The sequence below is a fragment of the Homo sapiens genome, chromosome 1 (assembly GCF_000001405.40).
Source record: "Homo sapiens chromosome 1, GRCh38.p14 Primary Assembly".
Lineage (NCBI taxonomy): Eukaryota > Metazoa > Chordata > Mammalia > Primates > Hominidae > Homo > Homo sapiens.
The window spans coordinates 223,608,936-223,630,578 of NC_000001.11; the positions used below are offsets into that span (position 1 = coordinate 223,608,936).

Here is a 21,643-nt window from a genome sequence, read left to right on the forward strand (position 1 = left end):
TGCTGGTCTGGTTCTCTTTCTCTCCGTGACCTATAGAGCAAGGTGGAGGGGTAGGAGGGGGACACCCAGTGAAGGGTCCTTTGGCCTTGTAGTTTCTTAGAGGCTTCTTCTGGGAACATGTACTGGGAGCTGGGGTGGGTCCTGCACCTGCATGGGGCCATTTCCCTTCGTGGGCCCACAGACAACTGTTCCCCACCACGGAGGGAAGGAGACGCACAGGGCCTGGGCCTTCTTCTCTGAGAACACTCTCAAGCAGAACTCGCCGTCTTTGAAGGGTTCAAATGTGGATGGCACCACCAGGTACTCCCCAGGGGGCAGCCGGGCCCGGCCAGAGACCTCCCGCAGGTTGACGTAGGTGCTGGTGCGGGCTGAGGGCTGGTAGGCCAGGAAGAAATCCCGGCCCAAGTGTGCGTCCGTGTGACTCTCCAGCTGCACGAAACAATAAGCAGAGTCAATTTCTTGTTAAATCCTGGAAGATGAGAGCCCAAGAGTTCAGCTTTATTGTGCTGATTTAGGAATTATTGATTTTTACCATTGCACCAAGAATCAGGAGGCCGTGGATTCTGTTGTGAACTCACTGTATGTCAATCATCAAGTGTATTTTCAGTGCCTTCTGGGTGCCAGGCCCTGTTTGAGGCATTGATCTTGACTGTGTGACCTTGACCTCTGGGCCTCCCCAGTTAAACGAAGGTTGAGGGACAGGGTCTCTAGTGTGCGCTCAGCTTCTCTCTGGATATTTTTCCTCTCTAATCCAATAGGCTCTTTCATTCTGCAGCTGTCTCTGGGAGTGTGGCATTGATCTTCCCAGTACAGGCCCAAGGCTGGAGAAAAGAGCTTAAATCCTAGTCCTCAAGCAAAAGCTGCCACAAAAACTTGTTCACCTTTGACTATCTGTGAAAACTGCTCTGCAAAGAGACTAGGATGGTCAGTCTGGGAACCCAGGGAGGCAGCTCTAAAAGAGACAGGCAGAGGGGGCGGCCACAGCTAGGCCTAGTCTGGGGTCCCCCCAGCCTCCCCAGGGCCTCGACTCTCCTCAACAGGCGACGATGCTCTCCAAGACCCACTTATTTGTTGCGGGGAGGTGGGAGGCTGTTGGTGCATGACACAGGTTAATTAGTGACTGCAGAGTGCTTCCAAAACACAGGTGCCAAAGTTATTATTGCTGTAATTAAGCCTCCCCATAACACTGTGTCTTTACCATCAATCTTCATCAAGATGCCTGTGACAGAGGCCAGGTGCTGATACACTGCAAGGGCTGTTAACTTCTGTGTGACCCAGAGCTGAAATGTCCACCCCAGAGTGGACAGTGTTCATTCTTGGTCATCAGACCCTCTTTGGATTACAGATCTGCTAAGCAAAGAAGGAAGCAGGCCACCTGCCCCCACTACCCTAGTCAGGACTCCACATAGAGCCCTCAGGCAGTCCCCACTAACCCGGCCACTAGGGTGCCCACAGTCCTTGAGATTCTCCCTAAAAATGCTTACATTCTGGGCAGGAGAATGCTGGTGGTGTGGCCAGAGAGGATGTGACCAAGGCCTACATGTCATGAGTTAAAGGTCATTCTTGCCATACCTGATGGTAGCAAAGGGAGGAGACAGGGCACTGGTAGGAGAAAGCACTCAGGAGAGTTGAAGTAAGGAAGCTACTCTAATTTGTCTTGGGTTGGGAAGGGGGCAAACTGAGTTCCAGCAAGAATCCAGGGGTGGAGCAGGTTAGAGAAGTCCTATTTGGGGGCCAGAGTGGGAACTGGAGGACACTGAGGCAAGATCTAGGTAAGACTCTGTCCTACTAGGGACCCCAAGTAAGCAGGTGCCACAAGGTCCCTGGCCCCCACATCTGCCCTTGACATAGCTCAGCTCAAAGTTACAGGATGGAGGTTGGGCAGGTTTAACTAAGGGTGGTTCTCAGTGTGGGATCAGGATCAGCAGGAGCACCCCAGGGTAACTTGTTAGAATGCAAATTCTCAGGCCCCACCCTAGACTGAAAGAATCAAAAACTCCAGGAGCAGGGCCCAAAAATCTGTGCTTCAACACGCCCTCTAGGGGATTCAGAAGCACATTCTAAGTTTGACAACTGTTGTCCTGAAGGCCCCCCGGCACTCGTAGAGCACAGGATCCAGGGTGACACATTGAGGGCACTGTGAGGTGCTGCTGGAGAAAGCTCCATTGTGTGTGCACGTCACCTCTCTCTCATATAAATGGGGCATTTCTGATGGGAACCACCATCACCCAGACTTAAATCAGCTTTGGTTTTAATTATTTTCCAGTAGTAATGAGGTAGGAGGTAGGACTCAACTCCCAGCAGGACGCTGGACCAAATGGAGCACTAGCTGAAACAGGGAAGAGGTGAAAGCACCTCTCCATGAGACATACCCACCAGTGTGCCCTATCAGTTTACTGTTGCCTTGGCAACATCCAGAAGTTACTGCCCCTTTCCATGGCAACAACCTGACAACCCAGATGTTAACATTCTTTTTCTAGAAATTTCTGCATAATCTGCCCCTTAATTTGCATATAATTAAAAGTTGGTATAAATATGAGTGTGGACCTGCCTGTCAGCTGCTACTGTGGGCTCACTGACTATGAGGTAGCCCTGCTCTGCAAGGACCTCTGTTGCTGCTCTACCCTGCCACTTCAATAAAAGTTGCTAACACCACTGTCTGGTCCTTGAATTTTTTCCTGGGTGAAGCCAAGAACCCTCCCAGGCTAAGCCCCAATTTGAGGGCTCACCTGCCCTGCATCAGTAAGAGGTATTTGCTCTAAACCATTCACTTCCTTGTCTGTTCCCTCTGTAATCAATAACATGCACTTTGTGAGCCAAGGGCAGGTGGACCAGTAATCTGCAGCCTTGGATCAAGGCATACACTAGAGCTGATGAATTGAGCCTTGCTGGCACATGCTTCATGGCTAGCCAAGCTTGAAAACCCAGAAGAACTGGGGTAAAGCTGAGCAGGGTGGATGCACCTATACATAATTAGTGCAACTGACTCCAGCTAGAGGAAGCCCAGATAGAACACTGGTTCTCAACCTTGGCTGCCCATTGGAATCACCTTGTTCAGACCACCAGGGGCATGGGGAAAAAGGTCACCACTGTTCCTTCCATGAGGGCCTGACAGATGGGACTTGCAATGGTCCTCACCCACTCTCAGAGCTACCAGCCTACTCATGTGGTTTGATTCATGACTGGATCATGTGAGAGCTGTGGAACAACCAGCTTCTACCACAGGAAACAGACGCTGCTGGCTGCCCATCCTGAAGGCAGCCAAGCTATTTCTCACCAAAGGAAGGAATCTCTGTCAGCACTCACATACCTCCTTGGGAACCTGTGGGGCAGAAGAAAAGAGCAGGTCACCTGAGAGCTCCAAGGTCCTCCTTCTGCTCCTTTTCCTCTCTCCCTATGTCTTGCAAACAGACTGTGCAGTCCTGGGGCAACTGAGGAGACATTTGTGCTAAAGTGAGAAGCCAGTCAGCATTTCTGAAACTGGAACACTACTGATGAATTTCAAGGCCATCTATAAATAGGATCCTAGAAATCTGGTGGGGGACCACCAGATTTCTAGGTTCTACTTTCTTATTTTCTAGTTGTAGAATCTACCAAGATCTCAAATTATTCAGGAGTAATAGCCTTGGGGTTTCAATGAGAGCTAATCTCTTCTTCAGACCTACAGACCTGGTGTCCAAGATCAAGAGTTTGACCAGAGTGGGGGAATCTCACTCAACCTGAGCCATAGTTTATTCTGCCCTTGGCTATGGTGAAATGGTTCAAGAACAGGCACATGACCCAAGCTGAGCCCATCAGAGACTTACTTCTCTGGGATTTCTGAATTGGAACTAACAGAAGGGACTCCTTTCTTAATGCTAGTGATATTAGGGAATGAAGAAATCTAGACTAGCACAATGTCATCAGCACTAGAGAGGAGATGTGGAAAGAAAGAATCCTGGTAGTATCCAAGTCCCTTGTCCCAAGCCTTCATCTCCTTCCCTTAATTTGGTTTCATGAGCTGGTACACTATTTTCACTAGCCTAGCTCGAGTTGGGCTTTATTATATGCAACTGGAAGTGTTGACTCCCATAAGAGAGTAGCTCTCAGATCCAGAGTAGAAGCTTTCCCATGCCTGGGGTTCCTATGCCAGGCTAGAGAAGAGGATTCAGACCCCATAATTTGTCCCTTTCCATTCTTTGTCCCTGACACATAGGCCCTTTTGACCAGAAGACCATCCATTATTTGTGGTTTAGGTCTATGGTCAACTGCCTATAACTCTGAAAAACAACAATATTACAGAAAATGTGTATCAGCTGGCATGCTCACTTCTGGAGCCCCCATGGGTCATTGGCAGCAGAAGTAGAAGAGTCCAGGGTCACAGTCATTCCTCTAATTTTGAGTGTAAAACCAAAATCACCCATGCAGAGGCCTCACAAGTATCTTCCTGTCAGCTCCTGGCCTAATAGCCTTTACACACCCTTGGCAGGGGCTTGCCCAACCACATGGGCCGTCTTTCCACAAACAACTTGACCACCTCTGCTGCCATCAGTATGCTCCAGATCCACCCTACCAAGAATCACCCAGCAGAAACTGAGCCAGGCAGGTGGGGCCTCTTGGTGGCACAAATCCAGAGCAGCGAGGTAAGGGAGCAGGCCTTAGCCACTGCCCATGGGTGGATGGAAAGAAACAGTCATCTTTCAAATGCAGGATCCTGACTGCAAATGACAGGCTGGCCTGGCATCACTGCAGGAAGATAGAGGGGAGAGAGAGGAGGCCAGACAAGGAGGGCTCTTTAGTCTTTGGAGGCACCTGGCTGCTTCTCAGTCAGCAGCAGGTTTTCATCCTCAATCCAAACTCCAGTTAAAGCAAGAGAAGGGAGATACAGGAATGAGAATATGGCACCCACTCCCTGCAACCCCAGCTACTCCCTATAACCCCAGCTACTTCTGATACCCTCTTAACCTGACTTTTAAACTGTTTTCACTTATGGATGTCATGCTCTAAATTATATGCCTGTGGCCAGATATAGAAGGACCACAGATCACACACACTGGAATATTTTATAAGCAGCTATAATTTGATGACTAAAAAACTGATATGCTTTATATATTATTTATGAGCGCAAATGTCATGCCACACAAAGCTATTTCAGTCCCTTTGAAAGAATGCTTTGCTGGTCTGGTTATATAAGGTAGGCCTGGCTGAGTGCAGTGGCTCACGCCTTTAATGCCCGCACTTTGGGAGGCCAAAGCGGGTGGATCACCTGAGGTCAGGAATTTGAGACCAGCCTGGCCAAAATGGGTGAAACCCCATCTCTACTAAAAACACAAAAATTAGCCAGATGTGGTGGCACGCACCTGTAATCCCAGCTACTCAAGAGGCTGAGGCAGGAGAATTGCTTGAACCTGGGAGACGGAGGTTGCAGTGAGCCGAGTTCACAGCACTGCACTCCAGCCTGGGCGACATAGTGAGAGTCCGTCTCAAAAAAAAAAAAAAGGTAGGCCTGATGGATGAAGAACTGAGTAGCCCACCCTGCAGCCATGCCCACCTACTATTGACTCTCCAAAACCATCACTTAACTTTCAAGCTGCCAAGAAATGTCCTTTTGGCTGGAATGTTCTCCCTTGAAATCAAGTTCATCTTTCAAGGTTCTCATCAAAATCTCCTCCTCGATGAAGCTGAGGTGAACCCAGCCCATTGTGTCAGGTCCCCATCACAGCAGATCTGACCTGCTCTGTTGCCAGTGGAGTGTGCATCTCACTTTCCACTTCAGATTGTGAGCACCTTGAGGGCAGTAACTATGTGATAATCCTCCATGTCCTCAGCTTTCAGCACAGCACCCGGCACATAATAGATGCTCACTACAGTTTGTTGAATTGATGCGCATACACTAAGTGCCTACTCAGGTTTTTATCTCTTCAAACAGAGTCTGGCTTTGTGCTACTTACATTCTAGGTGGAGATGAAAGAGCCACACTGGAGTAGAATTGGAGTTTATTTATTTGCAATTCCTTTCTCCTGCCATCAATTAGCAATTATTTTCCAACTCCCATTCTTCAACATAAAATATACTCGCATGCTCGTGCATGTGCACACATGCACATATACACCCTAAACTCTAAAGCCCTAAATTCCAGAATATGAGAAATAAAGTGTGGGGTGCAGATAGGATCTCGACCATTGCACTATTTCCTTACTGGTTTCTTATTACAATATTTTTTTCATACATTAATTTATACTGAGATATTGGGCCTCCAGACAGCTCTTGGTCTTCCTGATTAGAATTGTATTTTTCCCAAGAAATTCCTTTAATAAAATTGATTTAAAAATGGCCACCATGAGCCCCGCTGGAATTTGCTATAAGGAGTCTTTGCCTGTATAAAAAAGTGGATTCCAATTTGCTTCTGGCTAGACTTGTCAAGACACAAAGGTCTTGCTTTAACATATCTGTGAGGCTGTTAAGTCTGTAGAGGGGTGGCTGCCAGGAAAACTGGCATATTAGTCAGGGACTGCAGCGTGAGCCCAGAGACAGCTGTATTCCAGAGTTCAGAGACACCAGAACTGAAAATGGGCACGTGGTTTCCATCACCCCAGCTCATGCCCTGTGTGCTCCAAGTGTCTCAAGGCCTCCCAGGGAATAGTTGTCTTTGGCTCCCATATCCAGCCTCCTTCCCTGACTCAGTGATGCCCCTCATCTTCCTTGTGCCACCTCAAGTGCCTTATGCCCCCATGTTCTTGGCTCTTGTCCCTGGGGAAGCCTGTACTTGGAAAAGAGTCTAATGAACACATGTACACTGAGCCCTCAATGACAGGCAAAGGTTAATGTATCACACATCTCAATGTTAACAGCAGAGACTTAAGCCATAGGAATGAATCTCTAAATGTGGAATTCAGGCCTCAGTAAGGCCACTGGGAGAGGTATATAGAGGAGCAAGGACGCTTCTCGATTAGGAATACTCCAGCAATAGGAAAGATGTGCTACAATGACTGGCCAAGATATTCAGCCCCAAAACATCAAGTGTATAATGAAGGACAAACCCAGCACAGCAGTACCTGGTAGACGGCATAGCCGATGCTAAGCATGCCTTGTCCTATCCGCTTCCGCCACCTGCGATTTTTCTGCATCAGGCCCAGCAGCACTGTACAGCAGGGTTCACCGATGCTCTCCTCCTGGTCCTCATCCACTTCATCCAAACGGATTTTGAACTGGGGATTGGTCCAGTACGTGGCTGGAAGTCACCCAGGTGATGGTGGTTCCCCACGTAGCGGGTGAGGAGATGAAGAAGAATAAAGTAAAAGGGAAGAAACTTGATCATCCTAATGAATGCACAGCTCCATCCAAACTGTGCCTAGTAAGCAGGCCTCAGAAAGTGTTCTTTACAAGGTGGTCAGGCATTTCCTCCTACCTTCCTACACATCCACACACACAGACATATGGCATCGCATTTGGAAATGTGTGCTTGTCCATTTGATCAACGAGGAGCCCAGAAGTGCTTGACTGGGAATATTCAGGATCCCATGATCCGAGGGCTACACTGGGCAGCACTGCCTCCAAGTCTTCCTGGGGAAAGACTTAACATCACCTTGCTCTCAGCACTTGACATGTGAAGGCAAACCCACCTTCTGGAGGAAGGGAGATCTCTGGGTAAAAAGCATGTCCCCAGGACAGTAGAGGAGAAAGTCCCTGAAGAGACTAGCTACCAAAAAGGTCTCTCCGTGACACTATTAAGACAACTGCTCTTGCCATCTGATTGACACCTATTCTCCCTCTGAGAGGGCCCCAGCTGCAGAGCACAGCCTGCGGCACCCCTGAGAACTAATCTGCTGTCCATCACCCCAGGGGCCTCACAGGATGGCTTCAGTGTTGCAGCCCACTGATGAGACACACTTTCTTCAAGAGAAAGTCATTTAATAATGCATGAGGAATCACAATTGGCAATTAAGAAGCAGTCCTGCCACACCACGTATGGATATTGAAAAAGACTCCTTCATTTCAAAGATGGCTTTTTTTAAATCTCTCAGAATAGTAAGTACACAAGCCAAGGCACGGAGAGATTAAAAGGATCATCCAAGGATATGCAGCAAGTCTATGACAGAGTCCAGTGGCAGAGCAAAATTGCAGAAGGCACGCCTGACAGGTGTCTCCACTCTAGGGCCTCAACAATTTCAATAATGATGTGCCCGGGAGGAAAAAAGAAGTGGAAGGGCATGGGATTTTTCCTTACATCCTTTAAAGAAGAGTCTAACTTGGAAAATAACAAGGCATTCACAGGTGACCAAGAGCCATTGATTATCACTTTTCTTTACAGTAGGATTACTTATTCAATTCCACCTTCTCAGAATCCCCACTTCCACTTTTTTTTTGGGGGGGGGGGTTGTTTGTTTTGTTTTGTTTTGTTTTTTTGTTGCTGTGTTTTGTTTGTTTGTTTGTTTTAGGGCTCAAGTTTATGGATTTTAAAGCCGGATATCTGTGGATCCCATAGGAGATGGAAAAAAAAATCTGTAATCGCCTATACTTCCATCACTACCAAAGGGCAGGAACTATCCATGTCTTCCTGACAGCTAGTTGGCAGCATGGATGGGACTGTGATTTGGTGCATCCAGATACCTTGTGCACCCCCTACAGTTCTGAGCTCCCAAAATGATCCATGCAAATTTCCTCCACATTTTCTAAGAGCTTGCTAATGGTGAGCATATTTTAATTTCTCCCAAATGCAACATTACTGCAATCCATACATTTTTTGTTTACTCCTTAACAGTACTGGAGGAAGAGAATGGGCCATAAAAATAATACTCCCATTTATATAATGCTACACAGTTTACAAAGTGCTTCCCTACACACTCTGTGTTCCAAGGCTTGCAGTGACCCAGTAAGGTTGGAAGGTTGAACCCCATCTGGAGGACTAGGAAACTGAAGCTCAGAAGAGGGAAATGCCCTTCCCAGAGTCTAAATCAAGCAACAAGGGCAGGATGTGGACCCCTTTCCTTCCTCTCTGTTCAGCACTCTGGTCACAGCTGCCTGAACCGGGAGCTTTGGGTTGGATGGGTGATGAAAGAAGAGAGAACTTGTCAAGACCCAGCACTGCATCCAGGTGGGGTTTTATTCTAATGCTGCTTCCCTAGCACCGAGCACAGCCCTGCAGTGAGCTCTGTCATGAGAAGAAAGTGACTGGCCCTGCCCCATGCGCTTACAGTCTAAGTCAATCAACAGATCAACAGCAAACCAGGCAGGGAACATGGGGAGCAGGAGGTGAAAAGTAGAGAGAGCAGGATTTGCTTTTCTTCATTTCTCCTTAGAGATGTGGGGCTGTCTTCCTGAGTTTCTTCATCAGGTGCTGCCTCAGCTGATTCAACCTAGGAGGAGCCTACACAGGGACACATTAGTGATCTTCTGCGAGCCAGGAAAGCTTCCCACCTTGCACCAGGTGAGGACCCAGGGTTAGTGCGGAGGCCATGCTTTGCACCATACTATCTCCACCAGGGTCTGAGTCCCCATGACACGCATGCCCTGTGTGTGGCCATCACGGCCCACGCTGTCTTTGCCCCTCCACCTCCAACTCAGGCACAAACACACAGTGAAACAGCAGCTCTATTGGATGCAGCCTATTGAAACAGCAGATGTTGTACCCGTGTTCCCCTAGCGCACCATCAGCCACTCTGTCCCAGAGGTCAGCAGGGTGACTGCTAGCCAGCTGGGTGTGGGGAGGGGAGTGGGGAGGAAGGGGCAAAAGCCCAAGGGAAGAACAGGAGGCCTTAGCATAAGGTGCCAAGAGCAGGGCTAGTGTGGAAAGCACGTCCTTTGCGGGCAGGGCAGGTGGGTGAAGCAGGGATGGTTTGAACACATGGTTCAGGCTGCAGCTGAGCGGCTGCAGAGCCACTGCCCACCCTCACAACCCTGGCCTCCAAGCCCTAGGGAGAAGCAGGGCCTCCAGAGGGTGCCCAGAAGTCAAAGAACAAAGTCCAAAGGCCTTATCCAAAGATTAACACATAGGGCTGGGCACGGTGGCTCACAACTGTAATCCCAGAACTTTGGGAGGCCAAGGTGGGTGGATCACTTGAGCCTAGGAGCTCGAGACCAGCCTGGGCAACATGGTGAGACCCTGTCTCTACAAAAACATTTTTTAAAAATTAGCCAGGCATGGTGGTGCATGCCTGTGGTCCCAGCTACTAAGAAGGCTGAGGTGAGAGGATCACTTGAGCCCGGGAGGCGGAGGTTGTGATGAGCAGAGATCGTGCCACTACACTCCAACCTGGGGAACAGAGCAAGGCCCTGTCTCAAAAAAACACACAAAATAGCACCAAAAAATTACATAAAATGACCCAGCTCAGGGAGGATAAGCTGGAGGAGGTTGGGCCAAGGCAGCCCTTCACCTTACCTGGGTAGTTCTGGCAGCCCCCAGCTGTGGAGCCCCGGGTCCAGTGGCCGTTGAACAGGACCAGGTTCCATTTGTGCACCTCCTCGCTACTCAGAGAGTCCGGGGACAGGTTGCAGATCTCCAACCGAGAGAACTGCCTCACGAAATCTGAAAGTGACATCCTGGGGCAGAGGCACCAGAGGGCTCTCAGTGAAGAGGGCTGGGTTGTGATTAAAGGCACGCATACTGAGCACGGGAAGGAGCCCTGTGGCACAGGCCCTAGAGGCCGTGGGCTAGCTTGATCTTTCCTACAGCACACTGATACAAACACGCAGAGACAACAGTCCACATTCTTCACTAGCGCTAGCTTCTTGGCTCTTACAGGGAGCCCCACACACATATCTTAACAACCAAGCAAAGGATCTGAACTGTAAACTGCAAAAGACCCCAGGAGGTCATCTCAACAAAGCCTCTGCCTCTAGATTGGGTTAAGTCTAAGCTCACAAGAGGTTTCTTTTTGTTTAATTCGGAGTGATGTCCAGCTAAGCCGTACCATATTCAAGGAGTATCCTTATTATCTTCCTTAGCTCACTAGCAAAGGAAGTTCTCCCATATTGATGGTAGGTAAATCTTAGCTTAAAGAGATAGAAGCAGTGCTCTCAGTTCATTGGAAAGATAATAGAACTGAGAAAGACAGGCTGATAGCTAAGCCAGGTTGAGGGCCTAGATATCATGGTTTCAGTGCTTTAGACGTGCTGGTATAGAGGTGGAATTATACCAGGACAAAAGGAGAAGAATGAATTCACCATGATCAGGAACCATGTCGCCTTCCTGGAAGACCCAGAGACCTAGAGTTCACATCAGAACTGAAAATGGACCCATCACCAATGGGACAGCGCTTCAGCAGAAAACTCTCTCACCAGAATTCTCCATCCTCAACTTTCTTGTCCAGTTCTTCCTTCCGCCGGGGGTCTATGTGATTCCACTCTGGTGCACTGAGGGGAAAACAAGCAGAGATGCTCGCTCCTGAGAGGTTCTACAAGCAGGGCAAGCTGTTTACTGCAGCTAAGCTTCCCCCTAAGAGCCAGAAACAAAATACCAAAAGCACTGCAGGCAGACAGAAAGGCAGAATGGACAGTGTGGCGCGAGCACACTGTCTGGGGAAGGGACACAGACCCAGGACACGGACTCCATGGGCACTAGCACGATGGCCTTGGACATGTGCCAGGAACATTATGACTCAAACATTATGCTCTAATTTTTACTCTCTAGGGCAAATTTGACATTTCTAATTAAGACTCCCAGGCCCCTGTTTGCAGGAATGGGGAGGCCCAGGAGAGAACGTGGATGAGTTCTCGTCACTGGAAAGGCAGGCACTCCAGTACCCATTAGTCACTTATCACTCTGGCTTATCCAGCAGTCTAGGGTGAATATGCTGACAGAGTCTAACCAGCTCTGGGGACATGGACATGGTTCACTTCCTTACACCCACGAGAATGATCATCCAGCCCAGTTTTACGGCAATTTCCCAGAAGAAACGTCACCCTGTGAGACCTCCTGCTGGTGGCCTTTCAAGGGCAATATCTATGCACTTTGTTTGAATGCCATCTCCAGCTTCCTGACCTTTACGAAGTTAGGTTTTCCTGAAATATGTATGTGACATCTAAGTAACAGAGCAGTATCAAGATCCATCTTTAAAAAAAAAAAAATCCCTGCCTGAATACCTTCAGCAAAACCTAAGCACCTTCTCTCCCCAGCATAAGAGCTGGGGCACACTCCAGCGCAGCCTCTTCCTCCAAGCCAGGCTTTAAGACCCCGGGGGTCAGCACGACAATTCCCAGAGCCTCTTCAATTCATTGAAACATTAATTTGATTAAAACCAAATCTCAGAATGTGCTTGTTATAAACAAAGATTAGGGCAGGAGTTGGAAAATTCCAGATCTGACCTACTGCTCCAATTTCTTTTTTTTACTTTTTTTTTTTTTTTTTAAGTAAAATCTCACTAATCCCTGGGCTGAGCTTAGGGATGTTGCCTTAGAGATTCGGCACCCTCCTCCTCCAATAGCTGATATATATAATTATCCCAGGTTGCATCTCCAGCTGGTAGGGCCTCCAGGACTTGACAGTCACCACCTCCCGCCTGCCAGGGAGCGGGTGCTCAGGGAAAGGAGAGAAAGTCAAACAAGCCCTTTGGACAGCTCGGTAGTGACTTTTGGTAAGAATGGCCCACATTCAGGGTTTCAATTTCACGTGGCCCTGTCATCCTTTTAGGGAAGTTGGCGGAACTGAGGTTTTGGGTTTTGCTCAATCTTACACAGTAGAATGAAAAATCCTTCCTACAGGAGGCTCATGTGTGGCCCTAGAGACACGTGTTTCTTCGTGACACAACCTGAAGGGAGTTACTGCCCCTCTGCGTGGTCATGACATGAGCAGTCATGATGCTGTGATTAAACTTGGCGATGTCCCCTTCGAAAGCCCTGGTGGCATCACAGAGTACCGACAGCACTTGAGGATTAAGGACGTATTGGGAGGGGGCATTATTGTGACCATTTTCATTTCTGGTGGTTCTTTGTCCATGAGACTGGCTAATTATTTTTTTTTTTTAAATGGAGTCTTGCTCTGTTGCCCAAGCTGGAATGCAGTGGCCCAATCTCGGCTCACTGCAACCTCCAACTCCTGGGTTCAAGCGATTTCCAGCTAATTTTTGTACTTTTAGTAGAGACGGGGTTTCACCATGTTGGTCAGGCTGGTCTCGAACTCCTGAGCTCAAGTGATCCACCCGCCTAGGCCTCCCAAAGTGTTAGGATTACAGGCCTGAGCCACTGTACCCAGCTGAGACTGGCTAATTCTAATTCCTCCCCCACACTAACCTGCCTCTGCCAGGCCAGCTGTGCTCACTGGACAGAAACCACCCCATGCTTTCCACCCTCCTGCATGATGGGGACATGGATTCCAGGGCCCAGCTGTCCTGGGACATCACCACCTCTGACTGACTTTCCCTCATCAGCAGAGAGGCCTGCCCAAGAGGAGTCTCTCCAGTCAGTGATCAAACGTGCCTAGGGTAGGAGCGAGTGCCGCTGCCTCATTCATCACTGCTGCCAGGGCCCGGGGCTCCTAGGGTCAAATTTCATTTTCTCAGCATCCTTGTTTCTTCTTGGTGCTGAGGGGTTTGGCCTTTGTCAGTGTCCAGTGTTTGTGGAGTGGAAAGAAACAGACTGTGAGTGATCGATTTGACCTTTGGACCAGCACGGTGCGTCAGGTAAAAAACACAAAAACCTTTCAGCGCAAAGCAAAATTCCACAGAGCCGCCAAACTTTCAAATGCCAAAGCAGAAAGCCAGAATCGAAGACTACAGCCCAGTGGTTTTTATTTTGCTTTTCCCAGCCTGGATCCATTTAATACTCTTTTCTGAACACACTGTGTGATCTGCAGACAGGACGTGCTGCTGAACTCACTGTGACATCGATCTCATTGTTGTGTGTTTTACACGACACCCTTCCGCAGAGGGAGAGATGACTGGAGAAGCGGGGGAAAAAAACCTACTCATCGCTCCAGGCTCCCGACCACTCCACTTCACCCCATGGATTCCTGAGTCTGATCAGCTTCTCTGGATGGCCCTGGAAATTCACCTGCAAATTCCATACACAGAAAAGCGACTGAATTACTATGCTCCTGTTGCCTTGCAGGCATGTCTGCACCTGACAGGATCTGCATTAAATTTTTCAAATGTCCCTAAAGGACCACACTTTTATTTTCCTTTAATGCATCTTTTCAGGCTTGGGCCAAGTGTTTTCATAATTTGTTTGAATAAATGAGGTATTTTTCATAATTTGTTTGAATAAATGAAGAGTGAGTCTAGCCCAAAAACAAGCTTATGTCTGCTTTAACTCAGATTTAGATTTTATAGTTGACTAAGATTGACTGAGCTTTTAATACATGAGACCTAATGATAATAAACGCCCTCCAAACAAACACCAAAGCACGGCAGTTAACATTTATCGAGCAGGTACTACAGATGAGGTGTAGTGCTAAGCATTTTAGGTGCTTTATTGCCTCATTTAACACTCACGACAATCCTGAGAAGATAAAGAATTATCTTCATTTCATAGCTCAAAAATCTGAGACTTAAAGAAGTTACATTATCCGAGATTATCTAGTTAGTAAGTGGTGAACGCAGGCCAGGAACTCAGGCAGTCCGTCTCCAAAGCCCATACTCCTAAATCCACATATACTGCTTTCCCCTATTTATTGAACACTCAAGCATAAGCCCCTTGGGCCCCTGCACACACACTGGCATTCACATATACACACACCAACTGTGTAGGCTGTTAGGTCCTCATTGTCTTCATTTCCTGTGTATCCCCCAACTCACCTAGCCCAATGTTTGCATGTACATGTTCAATTCCCATTTATGAGATTAACTTCATTAAAGAGCATATTTGGGCCAGGCGCAGTGGCTCACGCCTGTGATCCCAGCACTTTGGGAGGCCGAGGTGGGCAGATCATGAGGTCAGGAGATCAAGACCATCCTAGCCAACATGGTGAAACCCCATCTCTACTAAAAATACAAAAAAAATAATTAGCTGGGCGTGGTGGCGCGTGCCTGTAATCCCAGCTACTCGGGAGGCTGAGGCAGGAAAATCACTTGAACCAGGGAGTCAGAGGTTGCAGTGAGCCGAGATCGTGCCCCTGCACTCCAGCCTGGTGATAGAGCAAGACTCCACCTGAAAAAAAAAAAAAAGAAAAAAGAAAAGCATATTTATGAAACACAAACACATGTAAAGAACATCTGTTTCATTTAACTCTATTTATTTATTTATTTTTGAGACAGGGCCTCTCTCTGCCACCTAGGCAGGAGTGAAGTGGTGCAATCACTGCAGGCTCTCAAGCGCCTGCCCGGGCTCAAGCGATCCTCCCACCTCAGCCTCCCGAGTAGCTGGAACTACAGGCACACCCTACTATGCCTGGCCTATTTCAGTTAAATAAATAACAAGAGGTGGGACATTCATTGCATTTCCCTTTCTGCCTTGGCCATTGGGAAGCCCAAAGCAAAATTAATTTCTCAATTATAGCACTGTCTTCAGCGTGGATTGATGTATTTTACTTAGTTGTGTGGTTTTATCATGTCTGTTCTTTTAATGGTAAACCACTAGCTGGGTATGGTGGCTCACACCTGTAATTTCAGCACTTTGGGAGGCCGAGGCAGGAGGATGGCTTGAACCCAGGAGTTCAAGACCAGCCTGGGCAACACAGACAGACTCTGTCTCTACAAAAATTTTTAAAAAATTAATAATTAGCCAGGCATGATGGCACTTGCCTGTAGTCCCAGCTACTTGGGAGGCTGAAGCAGGAGGGTCACTTGAGCCCAGGAGGTTGAGGCTGCAGTGAGCCAAGATCATGCAACTGCAGTCCCACCTGGGCAATGGAGCAAGACCCTGTCTCTAAATAAATAAATAAATAAATAAATAAATAAAATCATTGTAAGCCACCTTAAATCCCTTTTGAAAGAAGACACAATGTAGGAAATAAAAATAATGAATAGGCCGGGTGCGGTGGCTCACACCTGTAATCCCAGCACTTTGGGAGGTCGAGGCGGGCAGATCATGAGGTCAGGAAATCGAGACCATCCTGGCTGACACAGTGAAACCCCGTCTCTACTAAAAATACAAAAATTAGCTGGGCGTGGTGGCGGGCGCCTGTAGTCCCAGCTACTCAGGAGGCTGAGGCAGGAGAATGGCGTGAACCCGAGAGGCGGAGCTTGCAGTGAGCCGAGATTGCATCACTGCACTCCAGCCTGGGCGACAGAGCGAGACTCCGTCTCAAAAAATAAAAAATAAAAATAAAAAAAAATAATGACTAGTATAGCCCATGTTTTTTCCTCGGGTTGGAGAGTGAGGAATACTTACATGCCTTTCCATGACTCTACCCCACCCTAAAAGCTGGGACTACTGCCCCTTTTCCTGTTTTGGGATTTTGTGAGTTCCCACTGTTTTGCCCACACAAACATATTTTTTGGAAGATCTGTAGAATCTAACTGACAATCTCTACAGCTTTCCTGGCTGCATCTAAGGAGAGGGCTTGCATTTAGTTAGAACCTATTGAGCAAAAGCTCAGAGAGGTTACGTTGTCCATCTTCAAGTGAGTAAGAGTCAGAAGAACCTTCTTTTATTTTTTTTGTTTTAGAAAAAAAATTTTTAATTTTTTCGTAGCGATGAGGTCTTACTATGTTGCCCAGGAATGGTCTTGAACTCCTGGCCTCAAGTAATCTTCCCACTTCAGCCTCCCAAAGTGCTGGGATTACAGGTGTGAGCCACCACACCTGGCCGGAAGAGCTGTTCTAATGAGCAAAAGCTAATGCTCATCTGTGGTGTCAGGGGTTCTGTACAGGCAGAGTGCATCCCAATATGGCAGTGAAGCTCAAAAGCCAATTCCGAACCTTCTAGTAGTAATCACCTCTTTCCTCCTGTCGAGATGGCTTGGATTCATGGAAATATTATCACACGTTACCTTCCCCACCTTCCACACAATTTTACCTCTTCGACTCCAGTGACAGAGTACGCATGACTCTTAACCAGCTTCTGGCTGGTGATGGCTTCGGCTTCGGCTGCACTGGAGACCTGCGTAGAGAAGAAAGTCCACTCAGTGGCTGACCCTGACCTCTCAGGGGCCGGCCGTAGAATGCTTTCCAAGGACACACTACACAGCCACTGGGGGCTTCAGTGTGGGACTAGGGGTGTAGGCATGGCTATGAACCTCAGGTAAAGAGTCATCTCCATCCAGACTCCCTCTTTAATTAGGCCTGTAGTTCCGGGCCAGTGCAGGTGCCTGCCAAGCCTGGAAGACAATTTACCAGCCTTCAAAATGCCACCAAGAAACTGGGAAGTCATTTATTCTCTGAGAGTGACCCCCAGCTGCCTGAAGAAGGCTAATTCTCCATGCTGATGGCTCTGGACAGGTCCCAGTCCTCCAAGGTTCTCCCTGAGTGGACTCCTCATTACCCTTCCCATTTCCTCAGCACCCCCTCTCCCATGCCCCATACCACCCCTCCACCAAAAACCACATCTCCTGCTGGGGTTTGCAGAGAGAGGAAAAAGGGAGGATCTTCTCACTTTGTCGTTCACATTTCTAAAATCACCAGGTAAGGACAAGAGAGGAAGACAGGGCAGCCAGAGGGCAGCTGGTCACAGGAGCCCGAGGTGGTGACAGGACCTCAGGGCTGGGGGCCTCCAGCCTCTGTTTCCACAGCCACCTTGGAAATCCACACAGCTCAGCCTCCTGTCCAGCCACAGCCTCTGGTTTCAGAACTTGTCTTTTCTTCAGGGATCTCAAGATCCATCAGGTATCATCAATCATCACATTTGTTTTCCAAAACCTCAAGATTATTTAGCAAAAAGGAGGTAGCAAATGGGGGGCCTAGGATCCAGGGATCCTAGACTATGTTCTTAGGGCCACTCCAGCAGTACTGAAGGGGCTCTAACAACGAGAGGGAAATTGGGGCTCCTGCAATGCAACTAACCCCAGTTCCTACCCACTAATTAGGTCTTCACCAGCCCCTATATGTTCAGGCCTTTGTGTCACTAGACTTGCCCACTAAGCTCCAGACTCTGCTCTGACCCAAAGCCTTCCTAGGCCTCTCTCCCGCTGTCTCATCCCTTCCCTACCACACAAGGGGTGGCGGTGGGGGGAGGTGGGGCAGTAGAGAAGCCATATGCCTCACATCAATGGAGCAGCCCAGCAGAGACCCCGCACAGAGGGCCTTCCGGATGATCTGATATAGATTGGCTGGTGGTTTCTTCAGGTCATAAAACTCAGAGATGCCACCTGTGAAATCCTCAAACCCCTCCACTGTGGAACCTCCAGCGAGAGCCTCATAACAACCATTAAGCCTATTGGAAAAGAAAGAACACATGCTCCATTAGCACCCTCAGCAAGGAGACCCGGGGATTGGGGACCGGGACAGTGCTAGGACATACTGTGGCCTGGAAGATAAAGGAAGGCTCTTTGCCTATTTTGCCTATGGGCCAGGAAGGTGCTTAGGCCACTGTTTCATGTGCCCAGCTCAGCACTTCACTAGGAACTGACCTCAGCCAACCTCTCTCCAGCCACCCCCTCCTTTACAAAGCCAAGGGCAACCCCTCCAGAGTTGGCCCCAGCTGCCTGGGTTTCTGGGGGCTGGGGGCACAGATGGGGAGAAGGAGAACTTTCCCTCAAGGCTGAGAGGCATCTGCTGAGGCTTGCTGGGAAATAGAACTGGAAAGGAACTGGGGTTGCAGAAAAGGGTATCAGTAAACAAAACTAATTAAAAGAACCCCAAAGAAGGTTTTGAACATCAAACGCTGGTGAGAAGAACTCCTGAGGAAAGAGCAGACACTTTGTTGAGTTTGGTATCTAGTACATTTGTTTTATTATTCTTCATCATTCTTTTAAACGTTTACATTGCCCCAGGAACCTACCTTGGGATTTGAAAGAGGAAAAGCTCAGGCCCAGAGGGGCAGGGAGGCTGGCCCCACCACATACACATTCACCCGAGGCAGAGCTGAGATGCTAAACTCCCCGCCCAGATTTCTGTTTCTCTTAGTTACTGAAAAATGCTCTCTCTCCGGCTCATGGGGGTCTGGATGCTGGGAAAGACGCCATGACGCCCTGAGTTTGGGGTGGGGAGGCAGACGTGGGAGGGACAGGTGAGAGCTTTCAGGGAGGCTCTGGCGTCTCCCAGCTCCTGGCTTCCCCCACTTACTTGGCATAGGCTTTCTCCAGCAGGGCACTCCAGAATTCATTGCCTTGTTCCGAGTGTAGGAAGAGCAGCTGTCCATTCTTGGTGGGCAGCCTGTCGTCAATGACCACCTCCACCCACTCTCCGTACTGCCAGAACTGGGGAGGGGGGACACAGCGGCTGCTCACATGAATAAGCAGATGTGTAAAGGGAGTCCCTCCAGGGGACCTCACGTGGGGACTCTGTGCCATCAGTGTTCGAGTCTTGGCTCCTTAGGAGCAGGACATGTGTCTGCCTTATCTGTGCACATAGGAGATGCCAGATGAACCCGGGAACATCTAGTCCAGGGTCTGCGTTTGTGCATCAGAGAACTTGCCCAGCGCCACCTAGTGGCAGCAGGAAGTGATTCAGACCCACACCTCCTGACCCTCAGTCCACAGGGCTTTCCTGAAGGCCACGTGGCCTAGGGGAGCTGGGAAGAGGATGGATGTGTGGATATCTGGATGGATGCATTAAAGCAGAGGTTCTCAGACTGAAGTGTGCATCAGAGTCACCTAGAGGGATTATTAAGACATAGGTCACTGTGCCCCAAACCCAGAATTTCTGACGCAGTGGACCTGCAGTGAGCCCTAAGAATACGGAAAACAGCAACAAAGGGCCAGAGCAGAGCACAGTACCTGAAAGTGAAAGATTCCCGCATAGTTCTCCTGGAAGTCCTGGTCCCTGGGGACCACCCGGTAAAGCAGCTCTTCATTCAGGGTCAGGGAGGCAATGGCAGCCAGAAGCCAGCAGTCACCTGCACAGTGTCACAGGGGACACAGATTGGTCAGGCCCAGCCTGCAGGGGCCCTGCTTTCTCTGACCCTGTCCCATTCAACCCAGAGTCCACGTTGCCACATTCCCTTCTGAGTCAGGTAGAGTTTCCTCCTCCGGTGCTGGAAATGCACCCGCAGCCATCAGCTTCTTCTGCCTCCTTGGGATTTGTTTACTCGGGAGTGGATCCTCTGCTCCTCCCTGTGGCTGCCCCCTCCCCCACATGCTGATCATTTCCCCACTCCTACACATTCAGCCAGTGGAGTGGAAAAGAAAAGAAGAGGAGAGGAGAGAAAAGAAAAGAAAATTAGTCCCTTTGGTCCCTTATTAGCAGCTCTGATTAAGTTGGTTGAGGGAAACATTGAAGCTGTTAATCCAATCTATGATGTGTACGTGTAAGAGTGTGTGTGTGTGTGTGTGTGTGTGTGTGTGTGTTTATGTTCCTTGCCCCTCCTGACCTTGGATAATGAAGAGCTGGCTCTGCGTGGTCTGTTTACAGTATTGCCTTTTCTTGTTTCAGAGTTCACCAGGAGAGCCTTGATGCCTTATTGCTTAAAGTTCCCTTGAGATACTGCTTAGCATTAAATCATCATAATTTGAGGCAGAAGAAATAAAAGTCAAGAGAGGTTACAAATCCTGGGTTTTGGTGTTCGTCACATTGGAGATTCAAGGAAATGCAGAAGAAAACAGAAAACCCCTTTCTGTGCAAGTTGGGACCCACCACACTGATGCCACTGAGTGGCACTTCCCTGGGAGGCATCGTTGTCCCTTGCAGTGTCAACTTCAAAAGAAGTAGCACGGGCCCCAGGCACCACTGCCTACCTTAGCATCCTATGGCGAATCTATCATCCTAGAAGTGACGTAACTTTGCTCACCTCTACTTATTTGCTTATTCCACACCAGCTGCTGAGGTCTCAGTGTCCTCAAGCGTGCTTTACATCATGTGAAGGCTATTGCATCTTTCTGGCCTGGTACTGCTTCTTTCCACCTTCATTGTAGATCTCTAGCTCTAGGAGTCTAAGATTTGGTGAACAAGTCCCTGTTTCTCCTATTCATTCCATTCAAACAGCTCCAAAGTCCTACCTGTGCATCTTAGCCTTTATCTTTTCCATATCAAAGATCTGAATCTTTTCAATGTGTGTTCAGATGGAAGGCCCTTCAACCTTTTAGAGACCATCTGTGGACCTTGTCTCACTCTAAGTTTTCTTTTAACACTGTGGCCAGAGCTATATACATATTCTAGGTGTGAACACATTATGGTTTTCTCAGAAAACCTGTTGCCTGAGCAAGCAGTAAGCCAGGAACCCACATCTGAGGAGCCAACATCTCCATCATCACTCAGAATTGCTCCATCACCAGGTCATCCTAGAAAGCCCTGGCCTCTGTCTGCCTGGATCTTTCCCAACAAAGTCATTCATGATCTGACCCCAAATTAATTAATTCCTCTCTCTCTCTCTCCCTCTCTTTTTGTCTGTCTGTCTCTCTCTCTCTCCCGCTCACTCGCTCTCTCTCTCTGTCTCACACACACACATACTCATTTACTTTCTTTTTCTTTTAAGAGACAGGGTCTTGCTCTGTTGCCCAGGCTGGAGTACAGTAGCGCCATCATGGCTCACTGCAGCCCCAACCTCCTAGTCTCAAGCAATTCTCCCACCTCAGCCTCCTGAGTCACTAGAACTACAGGTGCATGCCATCATGCCTGGTTAATTTTTTTTTTTTCATAGAGACAGGATCCTACTATGTTGCCCAGGCTGGTTTTGAATTCCTGGACTCAAGTGATCC

The 21,643-nt window shown here is 48.6% G+C and overlaps 1 protein-coding gene across 5 annotated transcripts in view, besides 2 other annotated features; it reads right to left on the reverse strand.

Moving 5' to 3' along the window:
- CAPN8 (calpain 8) overlaps positions 1–21,643 on the reverse strand; it is a 124,086-nt gene that overhangs the window by 67,320 nt on the left and 35,123 nt on the right. The window contains exons 3-12 of one of the 5 annotated variants that reach the window (NM_001143962.2): positions 19,727–19,845; positions 19,074–19,207; positions 18,054–18,222; positions 16,870–16,953; positions 13,880–13,965; positions 11,257–11,331; positions 10,358–10,518; positions 7,035–7,210; positions 3,311–3,322; positions 218–429 (exon numbers count right to left, since the gene is read on the reverse strand). In NM_001143962.2, the coding sequence (NP_001137434.1) occupies positions 218–429; positions 3,311–3,322; positions 7,035–7,210; positions 10,358–10,518; positions 11,257–11,331; positions 13,880–13,965; positions 16,870–16,953; positions 18,054–18,222; positions 19,074–19,207; positions 19,727–19,845 (1,228 nt within the window). Of the gene's footprint in view, positions 1–217; positions 430–3,310; positions 3,323–7,034; positions 7,211–7,387; positions 7,554–8,394; positions 9,347–10,357; positions 10,519–11,256; positions 11,332–13,879; positions 13,966–16,869; positions 16,954–17,089; positions 17,354–18,053; positions 18,223–19,073; positions 19,208–19,726; positions 19,846–21,643 lie in introns of those variants that run through there. The other 4 variants (XM_017001265.2, XM_017001267.3, XM_017001268.2 and 1 more) reach the window with 4 other exon arrangements.
- Positions 19,318–20,517: an enhancer, noted in NCBI's record as "CDK7 strongly-dependent group 2 enhancer chr1:223815955-223817154 (GRCh37/hg19 assembly coordinates)". NCBI's record gives its function as "activates an origin of replication core promoter dependent on BRD2, BRD4, P300/CBP, MED14 and CDK7 cofactors, with strong dependence on CDK7, by STARR-seq in HCT116 cells {active_cell/tissue: HCT116}" and the evidence as "EXISTENCE:reporter gene assay evidence [ECO:0000049][PMID:35650434]".
- Positions 19,360–19,469: a silencer, noted in NCBI's record as "silent region_1841". NCBI's record gives its function as "represses an Ori minimal core promoter by ATAC-STARR-seq in GM12878 lymphoblastoid cells {active_cell/tissue: GM12878}" and the evidence as "EXISTENCE:reporter gene assay evidence [ECO:0000049][PMID:35858748]".